The 14,119-nt window shown below is 40.5% G+C and overlaps 1 protein-coding gene across 6 annotated transcripts in view; it reads right to left on the bottom strand.

The window, feature by feature from the left end:
• CAMKMT (calmodulin-lysine N-methyltransferase) overlaps window positions 5,089-14,119 on the bottom strand; it is a 410,646-nt gene continuing 401,615 nt past the window's right edge. For all 6 annotated transcript variants that reach the window (NM_024766.5, XM_047445878.1, XM_017004982.3 and 3 more), the window contains 2 exons: window positions 11,120-11,251; window positions 5,089-5,645 (listed from right to left, as the gene is read on the bottom strand). In NM_024766.5, the coding sequence (NP_079042.1) occupies window positions 5,568-5,645; window positions 11,120-11,251 (210 nt within the window). In that variant the 3' untranslated portion in view covers window positions 5,089-5,567. The remainder of the gene's footprint in view (window positions 5,646-11,119; window positions 11,252-14,119) is intronic.

Here is a 14,119-nt window from a genome sequence, read left to right as displayed (position 1 = left end):
TCTGCATGTAATCCTTTAAAAATATAACAGCCTCTCTCTTTCCTTCTCTGTCTCTCCAGCTGTAACAACTTCACCAACTGTCTGGGTTCCACCCCGAGGATTTCACTGAGAGAACACGTTAGAGGGAATCAGGAAGCAGAAAAAAGGTCACAAATAAGCACCTCAGGAACAATGAAAGCTTTTCTCTATGCAGCAGTGGGAGAGTTGCTAGAAAAACTGGAAAGGTATTAATCAGAAGTGGCTATAAATGCTCTGGAGTTTTGCTCTTATAAAACTCCTCAGAGAAAGTCTTGAAGGAAATGCAGGTCAAAGCCCAAAAAAGCTCTTGATCAGAGATTGCTGGAGGAAAATCTTCCCAGACGCCGTTTAATAGGCAGCAATCACCCCAGGAGTGGGGAAGCCAAGTACGCTTGAAACATGGTTGCAATTCCTAATAGGTCTTGTCACACTTAAGGCACTGCAAGCTCCATCCAACGAACAGCTGAAGCTAGCTGGCGATTCATAAAGCCAACAGTTTAAAGTTTATTATGATGAAAGCACTTAATGACAGCCATCGCTAGGGGCCCATCATTTATAAAGCTGTGCTGAGTATTAGACATGTAGCATGACCACCAATTTTATGTCACAATTGCTACCATAAAATGACCTTTGGTGATTTTTGCTGCATGTGGTGGACAGCTCTTCCTTCACATTAGTGCTCTGTGGCTTTCTTTGCAGACTATTATGCTGTCTAAAGCTTATTTGGCACTGTCGTGAGCCTCAACCCTTGCTATTACCCCGAAGGCCTGTCTTAAAAAAAAAAATCTCATGCTCTATTACGCCACTCCAATAATTTACAGTTCTTACCAGCCTTGGTTAGCGTAATATTTTAATGCAAATATGCTTTACCATTGGATTTTATTTTAAGCACACACACACACACACACACACACACACACAATTTCCCATGCTTCTGGCTAGCAAAATATCCATTTTATGGGAGTTCACTGAAATCGGCCTCTTATTCTCTGGTCAGGTCTCACTGATTGAGCACTGTTTCCTCTGGGTCAGTTAAAACATCACCAGAAAAAAAAAAAAAAAAAAAGGGTTACTTAAACTTCTGTTGAGATTTTTTTTTTTAAGATCCTATACATGATAAACCCACTTAAGGCAGAAACACCAATTCTTATTTCCCTGCATCCAGTCGCAATGCAAATTGACATTTGAGTAACATTATTTAATTAGGCTTCCATTTTTCCACCTTCTTTGTGTAGTTAGGAAATGTTTGAATACATGCCAGTTTACTGCTCCAATGTAAACTGCTGCTAAGAAAGTGGTCTGTCCACGCTACACCACCTTTAAATTGTGTATATAATTTTATAAATGATATAAAATCTGCTTCTAGCCCTGAGGAAAAAACAAACCATAAGCATGGCACACTGCAATTTTGGAAGGATTTAAAATATGTGATTTCTGCTGGTACCTACTGTATTGGGTTTTATATAAAGCTTTTTTCAATAAGGTAAATTGTTACATGACAAACTCATCTTCCACCATTATCATCTGCTGTTTGTGTTTAACAACAGGAGTCCCGCTCTAACAAAACTGTTGTAATGGCTGTACAAATTACTCAGCTGAAAGCTTTTCACCAAACAAAACAGTATTAATCAGCAGTTCTTATGAAGGTGCTAATTAAAAACAATTTTCTTCCTCAGTTTGCAATACTAAAGCCATCTTCACTTGCACAGTTTCCAATATACAGCTACTGTATTTGCTCACACTTCAGGCCCTCTATTAACTATTGAATCTCCTATTAGCCATTTTATTACATTTCTGTTTACAAGCTTGTTGACATTTTAAAAGTCACGGTATGATCTGTTTTATCTGTTAAAAAATGTATTAATTGAAAAGTCAGGGGGACAAAAAAAGCAAAATACAGACTCCAAATGCACAGACTTCCAGGGCAGAGAACACTGTGAGCATTTAGCCACAGCCTGGAAGGTAAGCTCTCTGGGTAAAATGAAATGTGAGAATTAAAAGTGGCATTTCAGGCTTAATGGTTTGATAAACACTAACAGGATCCTTCCTAATTTGGAAGTAGTCCACTCAGGAAAACATATTTACCCTGCCTAAAATCAGCCTGACTTTCAAATCCATTTTTTCTTTATGGTATACAATCAACATAATTATGATGTTTCATACAGCCTGAACTCAGGGGATTTTGATCTAGGGTGGGGATGTACCTGGAATCTGGCGGCTGGAGCCCAGATCTCGGGTCTAAATAGCTTAATCTTTCCTGTGAGTGTGTGTGTGTATATGCTTGTACATATACTTTGACTCTCTCCCCTATGTGGGCATTCTGCCCCACCCCCAGAGTCCAGTGAGAGGTTCTTGCCAGACAATGCTAATGAATTGTCTGGCATAGATTGGAAACAAGTCAAATGCTGACTAAGCACAAAGAAAATCCATGGAAGCTAGGTTCCTATTAAAAAACAAAAACCACCTAACCCTCATGAGCAGGTTGCCCCACTTTGGTAGCAGAGAGATGGAAAAAAACACCACTACCTCCTGCCTCTGGTATTAAAACCAGGTTCTTCAGCTGTCAAAAGCAGTTAACTAGTTTAGGACAGACACCTGGCTGTTGAAATAGGGCTCCAGAGGGCAACTAATCCTTCCATTCACTCAGTTAACTGCTGGATCCCCCAAATTGATTCAACAGGTATGCAGTGGTAAATTCAGCCCATACTGAAGCCAAAGGGAAAATCAGCAAGGGGCGGGCAGCTCTTCTCTGAAAACACCCGAGGAACTAGCCAGAAAAGCTTTTATGGCCCTGACAAGTTTTCTGCTGAATACTGAGCACCTAAATTACCCTTCCCTAATGGAAGTTACATTTTCATGCTCAGTCAAAAAGCCAACAAAATACACAATTTATACAAAATAGCATCAACCTCTTAGGTAGTCTTTTCTAGCACTTTTATCCCAATTCATGGCATATGTCTTGCTATAAAGTAAAATATATTTCTTATAACCAACTTGTATGTAGCTATTCATCTCACAGCATTAGAACTGACCACGGGCAATATTAGAAACATTCTTTCATCCAACCAAATCTACTTAGTATGACAAAGGAAAATCATGAGTTTTATCAGAAGATAAAGGTACACAAAGAAAAGAAATATTATTCTTAGGATTTCCTAAGCAGACAGGCTTCCTTTCTGAAACAAACACATGCATAATTACATAGGCAATTATGGAATGGGCCATTTCAATTGCAATTGACTCATAGAAATAATCATAAAGTTCAAAAGAAATGTAAATGGACAAACTTTCAAAGCTGCTCTATTTCACTTTTCAGTATCGGCATTCCATTAAACTTCGGGAAAATAAAAACTAAAATTATTCAATAATATAGAACATTTCTTACAAACTTTCAAAGAACCTGGACTACAGAGATTTCCAGGTGAGGATCCCATGAAGAGCAGATCTAGGAAACCCTTAACATTGTATAGGAGATTCTCTAGGTTTTAATTACATAATAAGTGAATTTCCTTACTACGTATCTCTTGGTAGCAACAGTTCAATTCTGAAACACTGTTCTCAGATATTTAAAAAAATACATTCCTAGTTTACTTTTTAAAATATAGTATCTCCCAGAGACATAAACACTGGATTTCTCCACCCACAACACACAAATACAAATTGAATTCTTGCCAATTCACGTATTTTCTTGAGAGAAAAAAGAAAATATTCTCATAGTCCTGCTGTTCCATATTTAAAAAGAAAAAAGAATAGACCATCTTAGGTGCTACTACAGGGATGCGTTTTCTTTGTCTGGCAGAGTTAGTTGCAGGTTTTACACAGGAAATAATTTTGCTGTATTTTCACCAGTATAAATGGAATGGCTTGTGTTGCCTTTTAAAACATGCCAAATTCTAATTTTTAAACAAGAAAATATGAAGCCAGTGTGCAACCTATACAGTCACCAAAGGAGAGCTGCCACTAGCTGAACTACTCAGCTAAATGGCTGGTTTGCATTGCCCTGGTCTTTATCTAGCACTGAGAATAGACTGCTGTTTTATCCAAAGAGGAATAAATTGCTGTTATTGTGATGTTAGCCCATCACTTGGCATTGCAATTCAAGTTTTTGTGAGAAAGAAATGTATGATCTAACTGCGACTTGACCTATGCCTTCTGAGATCCATCTAGGTGCTCTAATGGAGCAGAAAAAGTGGTGAATACAAGGACATGCAAACTGATGGTGAAAAATTTGTTTGATGATAGAAGTGAGCAGAGAAGACATTTGAGAGTCGCTGCTTTTATGACAGCTAAGTTTGTTTAACATGCAAAAGGATGCACCCCCAGTCTCTCACCTATCACTTTAATTGTATCACACTGAATACATGTTTTTGCCTGTACTAAAGACATGAGGATATATAGCTAACCTACTAATGACATTACTGCTAAAGTGGGCACAGATGATTCCTTACAGATAAACATCTGAATTTCCACAAAAGGCATTAGAGCATCTCATGGATGCACTAGGCAAGGATAAGCTTGGGTTCCCTGCAGAAAAGTCATTCTCTCTTAATCCTAGGTAGCACCTATTAAATGTTTACCATACACTTGAATCACAGCATATAACAATATATACTTATTTTAAATAAGATAATTGTGTGATTGAGTTTTTAAAAAACTCCCCCTGGTTGCAATCTGGTTTATCAACCATTTACTCAAAATTTCTCTGGGAAGGACCTATTTTGAAAGAGGCCTGGAGAACAGCAGCAGTTAGATTTAAGCCCTGATAAAGGCTCACTTTTCATTCATAGTCAGAGCCTAAATGTGCTCTTCTTGTACCTAAACAGATAATAAGCACTCAGCACACTCCCCCTCCTTGACACAGCACACTGAGACTAATCACACATAATTGGGGAGGAGGAGCAGAGGGCTGGCCACGCTATTGTGTCCAGAGGACAAACGGTCAGTTTATGAGGCTTTGGGCTGATGTAGTCATTTCTTATACATCTATAGGAAAAAAAACATACTGTTTAAAAGGAAAAAAAGAAGGAGAGAGAGGGACAGAGAAAGGGATGGCGGATTTAATACAATTAATTGGAGGGAGATAAAAAGATACACTTTATTTATTTTTCTAACCAGGAAAGAATCATGATATTTGCTGGGTTTACTGATTAAAAACTACCACCACCAAAACAGAACAAAGACCAAAAAAAAAAAAAAAATGAAGGAGGGATGGGTATCATCAAAAGAAATTCTGTCTCAATTACAGGGAAAAATATTTAGTTTGTTCACCAGTCAAATTCAAGTCACAGACAGGCAGCTTATACACATTTAAAGACAAACAAAGGTTTAGGGCAGGACGAGCAACAAGCAGAGTGTAAAAAGAGGCGGGGAGGGAGCTGGAGAGGGCAGCTGGGGAATAACGTGGGTGAGGACAGGTGGAGTCCATAGCCCACACGTGAAATGCTGCAAAGGGCGCAGGCAGGCGATTATACCCCTTACAGATTTCCGTTTTTGTAAAAATATTCCCTATGCACTTGATACGTTTCTTCGTCTTTGAGAAGCTTAATCTTCTATCCATGTTTGGTCAAAATAAGCAGAAGCGGGTAATGAAGGTTTTCTTCATATATGTCCGGGTTTTCCTTTTTCAACTGAAAACAATAATAGAAAGAAAAAGGTAAGGGGACTCCAATTAGGGATCTTTACCAGTCAATATTAATGTTGAGTATCATGATGACTTTTACACCAAAATATATAGTTCTGGAAAAATAAATCACAGAAAAGCAACTCAAAGTAGTTCTCAGTGGCACTAATGTGACAATTCTATACATTAACATGGGGATTGTTTTTGGTGGGGGTGGGTAGGGTTTTTTTCATAAATACCCAAACTGCACTTTGACCTCTATAAACTGTGAGGCACTTGACAGAAGGCAGAGCTGGGGCTCATTCATCATCACCTGACTGGGCATTTGACATAGAAGTTTCTGCTCTCTGTACCCTCTGCCTCTGACCAATGCCACACTATTCAGGCAGGCGGGCATTTCAGATCACTGCTTGGAGTCCGTGGCAACATCTGGGCACAGGGAAAGGCTTGTGGGGCCCAAGACACTGCAAAGGCTCTCCAGGTGCTTCTTAGGGGTTTTAACATTAATAATAAGTCACTCAAAAATTCTTTTCTCTGAGGAGGAGAACATACTCCAACAATTAGACTAGCAACATTCCTGTTCATACTGTGCAGGGAAGTTCTGAGGATATTTCTGTGATAAGATTTTAAAATCCAGTTAGGTTTCTCACATATGAAGTACACTTTTTCTTCATTCAGCTGGAATAGTTTTAAAGTTATATTTATATTTATTCTAGCAAATAAAAATTTGCTATTTATAAAGACAAAATTAATATTTTTGAAGTTGGAATTTATGAGCCAATTGTTAATTTCTTTTTAGATTATAAGAATAAAAAAATAAATATTTCTTTAAATTATACAGGGAGTCAATTCCTTTATTGTTTAAATTAGTCAAACACCACCCACTCCACCCACCCTAAAGCAAAATGAATGGCCTCAACATCACACTCTCCCAGGTTGGTCCCTCTGGGGCATGTTAACTTGAATCTTTTCGAAGTGCATGTTCCTTCTAAATCATATTCCCAAACCATGACATGGACATGCTGTCACTATTAAGGACAGGAGTCATGAGCCCACTTCCCCTTTTCCGCTGGGGAACATAAAGCTAATTCAGCCTTTAATTTCTAATCCACTTTCCAATCTACTTTCCCAAGAACTGATGGTGGTACAGTCACTGAGGTGACTTCATTCTGTTTTCTTAGACAGAGTTTGTTCTGTGTACAGATGATTTGTTGTCTATTTAGGAAGATCCTTGTGGATTTTTGCTGCTACCAAAGTAGCGAGAGTGTTAAGCCTAAACACAGGTCCTCCAACCTTACTATTTAGTCTAATTTTAGAAAATGCTGAGAAAATGGCTTCACCAACTTCCCAGTCCATACCCACTGACCGGGACTTACCACTGTAAATACTTTTGTTGCCAGTTGCCCTAGTGATAGAGGGAGCTCACTGAAGTATTTTACAGAGGGAAGAGAGGACCAAGCTAGCTCAATTCTTTCCTTGGGGATTGGGGATAAGGGAAAGTTGATTACTCAGTGGCAGTCAGCTGACCTACTCACTCACAATGCACTAATATACAGAGACTCAAATGAGCTCTTTATAAAGTCCCTGAGGTAATATGTGGGATAAATAATTCTTCTGTAAATATGGGTTAGAAATCACTTTTAACTTGGATTCTATGCTGACCTCTGGAGGCCAAAGTGGAGGCTTCGTTGCTGAAAGGGGCCAGGGGCCAGCCCCGTCTTGCCTGTGAGACCTTTCCACAATGGGGAAGAGCTGACAACCCTCAAAGGCAACACTATAACCCAGCCCTGGATCATTTCTGAATCAAGCAAGTCTGTTATGTGAGGGTACTTGAACACACACAAAGCTCTTAGCCAATACTTGCTTCGATGGGGGAATGTTATGAGTTTTAAGAATAATTCCATTTACCCAGGCTGTACTTCCTTGCCCAATTAATAATTACAATTTTGACAAATATCAAAAGGCACCTTGAAAGAAAATGAAGAAAAAGCAAATCATGAATAAAATAATTTTCCAATTTCAGAGGTTAAAACAGGGTCTTTGAGGACTAAACTAAATTATATAGCTGCTATTAGTAGCATTATGCTTTACTTCATAATTGGATGTAACACGCTCAGCCTTACTACGGCGTGAACAGCAGCAGCAGGAGTGGAGTTCAGACTGTTTACCCTTTACAGTATCCACAATTATCAACAGCACACCACACAGATTATAAGCACCAGCCACTTGTAATGTGGCATTTTGAATAGATAAGCAGAAGTGCAATATGGCCGTGTTTTTAACACAATGTACTGACTTCACAGCCCAGCCCAAGCCTATTTTCAGAGCTATGTACAAAAATACAGAAAAATAAACACTTCAGGGTGGTTTTGCGAAAGTTTATAAAAAAAAAACCCACGGCATGTAAAATTATATTTCAAAGAACATTTGCATGAATGAGAGTATTTTTACCAACTAGCATCAAGCCAGCTGTAATCTCGAAGTCACATCTCTACCTTACAAAACGATTTGCTATCTTACTATCCGAAAGGTTTTGAACCACACTATGAGGGCAATGAATTTGATTCTCAGCCTTGAGGAGACCAAAAGGCTGGGGAGGAGAGGGAAGTGTTTTATTTTTCTCCCCTTGCAAGGATGGACTGAAAAGCAATATTTTTAAAACATGCTACACCTTTGGCTGCCTGGTTCCTGAGCACACTGGCTGCATGGTGTGGGCACAGTTTAACAAAAGCACTGGCAGAAAAGTGCGGAATGGCACCGTTTTGATTACAGGCTTGCTTTTTAACGGAAATAAAATTTCACAGTTAACAATGAGAGGTGAAAAGTTTAAGAGGCAAAGCTGTTCCTCCTGATCACTGACTGTTAATCAGCTTCATGGGTGGTTGCCTAAATCTGTAGATTTTTTTTTTTTTTTTACCTTGCACTACTGCCAAGTAACTAATTTTTTCCCCTGTTGTAAGAGGAGGGGTGAAAAACTCGGCTTCGAAGGCAGCTGTGTATGAGTGACGCGAGGCACTAATGCAGAGGGCAAAATTAAAATTCATGAATCTCTTCACGACCATTTGTGTAACAAGATTAAGACGGGACAGCGGAAAAGAGCGGCATTATCAGGCGTCTTACAGTCCTCCAGCTGGTTACGCTCTATTCCAACACAGTAGGGCTAAGAGGATAACACGCAGCCTGAAGGAAAACGCCGCTCCTCCATTGGGGAGCAGCGCGTCCCAGGGACGAGGGGGCTTTGGCCAGAGATGGAGAGGAAGAAAGCTGATTGCCGCTCAAGATGGAAAACTTTTAAGCCCTGGCTATTAGCACGCGGCCAACAAAAGCCGCCAGGGTGGAGGCTCCCGGCGGCCGCGTCCCGGAGCCCCGGGCGGGCGGGCAGGGCTGGAGGGGCAGGGGTGCTGCCTTGGGCCTCCGCCTTCGCGCCCTGCTGCAGGGCATGGGGATGGGCGAGGAGCAGCGGCGCTGCCCGCTCCCTCCAGCGTGGCCCCCGGCTCACTGCTCCGGCCTCTGGGCGAGCTCCTTCTCCTGCAAAGGAGCACAACTGCACGTGCCAGCCCGGTCAGCACACAGTATCCCCGCTGCTGGGGCAGGTACAGGAGGGACCAGAGGCATTCTTTTGCTAGAAGCAGAACCCCACACCAGCTGAAATAGCTCTCATTATTAAAAAAAAAAAAAAAATATATATATATATATATATCATGGGCGCCCGTTTATACCTTTTATCCAGGATGTGCCAACTCTGCAGAATATTCTCCTAGGGTTCTACACTCTCCCCACCCCCAACCACGAAGACAACTATTTCTTAGTCCAATGTACCAATGTCAGCAAACTGTGAATTTGACTTTTCAGCAATTATGACCAGAGAAAAAATAAAGCCACTTATTTATGTGCTTCACTTAGCAGGGTAGTGTACAACGTTGGAAATAAAAAGAGGAGGTGTGCTGGCCACCAGGCGCTAACACTCTAAAGTTCCAGACAGAGGAGAGGTGGGCGTGCCTGGCATGTCCCAACGCTCCTCAGGTCTTTCAGGGAGGAGACGGAGGGTATCAGGCACAATGCTGAACGTCTTTGCTGGTGGAGAAACCCAAGCCTTTGCTCTCCTGAGCTGTCACTGGGAAACTAAAAGCATTTGTTGTTCTAGGGGGAAAGTGAATGGCACGACATTGAAGCAGCTGTCAGCTGATCCTTGTAGTTCCAGCCCGACCCTGGAGAGAAAGCCACATTATTCCTTTGGGTGGAGGAGTCCAGGGAGCCAGGAGGGACCCTTTTCCTACCAGGTAAAGACCCGCTTTTTTTTAGGGGGAGGGATTGAAAAGGGGAAAACATCATTCTAGAGAGGCTGGTAAGATCTGAATCACATACCATCCTGTTTTTATTTTCTGATCATGAGCAATGGGCCTGACTCCACCAGTGAGAGGATGTAATGTAACTCTTTCAGTTCACAAAGCACCATTTTTCCCCCAGAGGCTAAATGGAACCTTAAAGATTCAAATAAATAAATTCATTTTCAGAAAGTGAGAATTTCTTTCTCTTGCTTGGAAGATCAGATTAATTTTTCATATATTTTTCCAAAAGCCAACACACTTCTACATTATATTACAGTCCTGGGTAATAAAGGATGCTGTTCACATTGTCCCAGGAGAAAATTAAGCTCGGGCCTTTATTTTTCTGCAGTTACAACTTGTGAAATCATGACAAGTTAAAGTCTCTTGCCAAGGTCAGACTAGCTCAGTGAAGGGAGATTTCCGTAAGGCACAAAATTACTGAAATAATACATGTTATACTAGTCACTGTGACATGTACTACTAGCAAACGTGAGAATCCTAAAAAGTTTTCAGTGAAACACTCGCCTCTCAGTGTCCTATATTGGTCTATACCTATAAATAATAAAAAGGCTGATAACATTGCTTTATGTAAGCAGGCTTAGAAATCACTCTCAGATAAGTGCTTTTGACCTAAATCTTGTAGTGCCTCCATCTGACATATAACCCCACAACTGTGAAATTCTGTATGAGATTTAACAGTCTCAAACTGCCAACTGACCCAGCTATAAAGCAAGCAGAGATAAAGATTTACAGTCCAACATGATACAATTAGACATTCACCTTCTATTTATTTCAGTGCGGCTAAGCATTTAACCTACTTAAAAGCTGAAGGTTTTTCATTAAAATATAAATGCATGTTATTCATTCTATGCCACCTCCCCTTACATCCTACAAATTAGTCTATTATGAATGAAAAGATTAGTTTGTTTCAGAGAAAAGAGTAAACAGGAATGGTTTCTGTAAAATCCTTCTAGACATGCAAAGATAAAAGATGGCTTTACCACACAAAATAATCAGATACAAATAGCTGTTCAGAAGCAACACATCTAAGGAGTACTTTAATCAAATATTTAGGTTACCTGCCAAAAAGACCATGATCTCTTCAAAATGCAATGCGGATTAAAGTGTTATCTAACACAAGCAGAAAACTAACCTTGGAGTGGAAGTTTGAAATGTGTTCATCATAATTTTCATGTCTTTGGATACAGAAACCAGCTTTTTCAGCTAGATTGCAAAACTGGTTTAAAGTATTCCCTCGGCGTGGGGCAAATACCATCGCTTTCCCCTAGAACAGTAAAAAGGAAATTCACATATTTTAAAACTGGAAGGTAACCAAACATAACAGACATTGGTCAAAGCATTTAATGTACTGCTCTCAAGTAGAAAAACTCAATTGTTCTTGAGATGTCTATGCAGGATGGACATTCACAGTGAGAATAATTTCCAGGAGAGATGTATATCATATAAGAATCGATTTCACATCCAAATGGCCAGTTGCTGTGTTTTATCTTTTTCAAATAATACTTATAAAAAACAAAATGTGGTTGAAAGCCGGTGTTCCGAACAATATGCATTGTCTCAGGTCCAGTGGGTTAAGCCATTGACTAGATTTTAGAGTAACTGGTCCAGGGCAGTGCCATTCACCTTGTGACTCCTTAGCACCTGCCAACGCTTCCCCAACACAGTCCTGGGGCATGTGACAACAGATGCTTACATCTGTTAGTTTTTTGCACCCTGAAAATTCAGTACCAAGAAATCCTTCATAGAGACAAGTAACCACAATTCCTCTTGGAGAGTTTTCATATTTCAGTCCTGCCCTAGCCTTTTCTGTGACCACGCTGTCAGATACAGGCTCCAGGATCTTGGTTTCCAACTTTATTGAATCCCTCATGATGGTCATCACTATAGCCAAGCAGTTCCTCATAGTATTCACATGATTGCTTTTCAAAGAAAGTGGTATAATGAGGGTAAACAGCCTTTTCTAAATAATCCACACAATCTTATGTGATTGTTGCAGTGGGGAGAATGGGAGGAACTGAATAAAGTATGTACTGGATTTCAGAAGACCATCTGACATGAAACTTCACAATGACCATTTGCTAACTATTGGATGCATGCGGATTTTTCCTCCCTCTCAGATGTGTACAGAATGGCCAAACTTCAGAATCTCCTTTTTTTTTTTTAAAAAAAAAAATAAAGATGGCTATATGCTTCTGTTACTCTCAAGGTTACACTTCACCTCTGTGAAATGCCTCTTTAGGTTTTGAGGGAATCATGAAAATATATCTGAGTTTCTTATGAAGAGTGGTTTATCATTCACACCAGCCAGCCATTTCTTGAGCACCTGGTAGTCAGACACTGTGCTAGGCATTCATATGAATATCCTCTCCTTTAGTCTTTAAGCCACTCTATGTTGTAGGTATAGTGTAGTCAGACACTGGGCTAGGCATTCATATAAACATCATCTCCTTTAGACATTTTTTTTTTGAGACAGAGTCCCACTCTGTCACCCAGGCTGGAGTGCAGTGGTGCAATCTCGGTTCACTGGAACCTCTGCCTCCTGGGTTCAAGCAATTCTCTTGCCTCAGCCTCCTGAGTAGCTGGAATTACAGGCACAGTCCACCACGCCTGGCTAATTTTTTTTTTGTATTTTTAGTCGAGATGGGGTTTCGCCATGTTGACCAGGTTGGTCTCAAACTCCTGACCTCAGGTGGTCCTCCCACCTTGGCCTCCCAAAGTGCTGGGATTACAGGCATGAGCCACCGTGCCCAACCCTCCTTTAGTCTTTAAACCACCCTATGTTGTAGGTATTATCAACTCTGTCAGTGAATGATCAGAAGCCCCAGCACTGATGCTCTCTCCACTACACTACATGTCTCCTTATTAGTAACAGTGATGACAATGATAATGATAGCTACCACTGTGCTAGGTGCTTCACAAATCCTCCTTTAATCCCCTCAGCGATCTTCTCAACAACCTGTACAGTAGACATTGCATTTTACAGATGATTAAACATACAGTGAAGGATTTGAAGAATATAAGGAGGAACTGTGGCAGAAAGGACTGGACTTAAGGGGAGTCTCCACCATTAAACAGCGGTGTCACCTCAGGACAATCAGAAAATAATCATAGAACTTTTGAGTTAGAGGGAAGCTTGGAAATAATGTAGTCCAATCTCTCCATTTTGTCGATAAGAACCTTAACCCATCCTCGCTGATCCACTGAGTTTTCTCATCCATTAAATGGGAAGAACAAAGCCTGCCCTGCCTTTTTCCCCCCGACAAATTGTGAGGATCAAATACAGAATGTGAAAATAATTAGAAAGATTATACTGATGTAAGATTAGAAAGATCTACACCACCTAACAGTGCTCTAAAAATGCTATCAATTCTCTCTCCCTCTCCCCTTCGCCCTCACTTACCCGTAAGAAAATACGTGGCTACACTGTCCTGAGCATCAAGTGTGTTTTCATACTGTGTTTACATCAGCCTGTACACACTCAGGCACATAATTATAGCAGCACCAATCATGCCACTACACTTAAGGTTCTGTCAGCTTTTTCAATATTAATTGCTATTTTCAGGCAGTTTTCAAACTTAGCAGCAAAAATTCATTTTTATGTGAAACTAGATATAATACATGGTCTCGGCAGGACAGCAAAAGTCTCCATTAGAAAAAAAAAAACAACAGGGAATGCTGGTAGGTCATTTTAGTCATTTCTAAGAGCTGGTTGCCATTCTGGATTTTTGAATAATGGAAGCTGTTTTATTTAAAAGTCACCTGCAAAAAATTGTCTCACAGTAACACTTGAAGAGTCGGTTTTTAACAGCTATTATCTAAGCTGCATATCATCATGTTCACAAGGCTACAGGTTTCTAGGTTGGGCTGATCCTTGCATTGACAAAGCAATGCATCTCCACATGCCCTGGTTGGGGTAAGCTGTAAGTGACAGCAGCTAAGCATGTGACAGCACTCTCTGCCTAAACATCCCTTTCCTCCTTCAGCTCTCAGTTTACCTGTCCTTCCCTAGCCACCCTGTTCAGAACGCAGCCCCTGCCCCATCACTCTCCAGTCCCTCGCCGGGCTTATTTTTGTTCTTAGCACTTACCACCAGGGACACACATTGTATCCTTGTTTGTTATTGCCCTGTCTT

The sequence above is a fragment of the Homo sapiens genome, chromosome 2 (assembly GCF_000001405.40).
Source record: "Homo sapiens chromosome 2, GRCh38.p14 Primary Assembly".
NCBI lineage: Eukaryota > Metazoa > Chordata > Mammalia > Primates > Hominidae > Homo > Homo sapiens.
The sequence above is the reverse complement of the archived record's forward strand: the minus strand, read 5'-3'. Positions and strand labels throughout refer to the sequence as shown.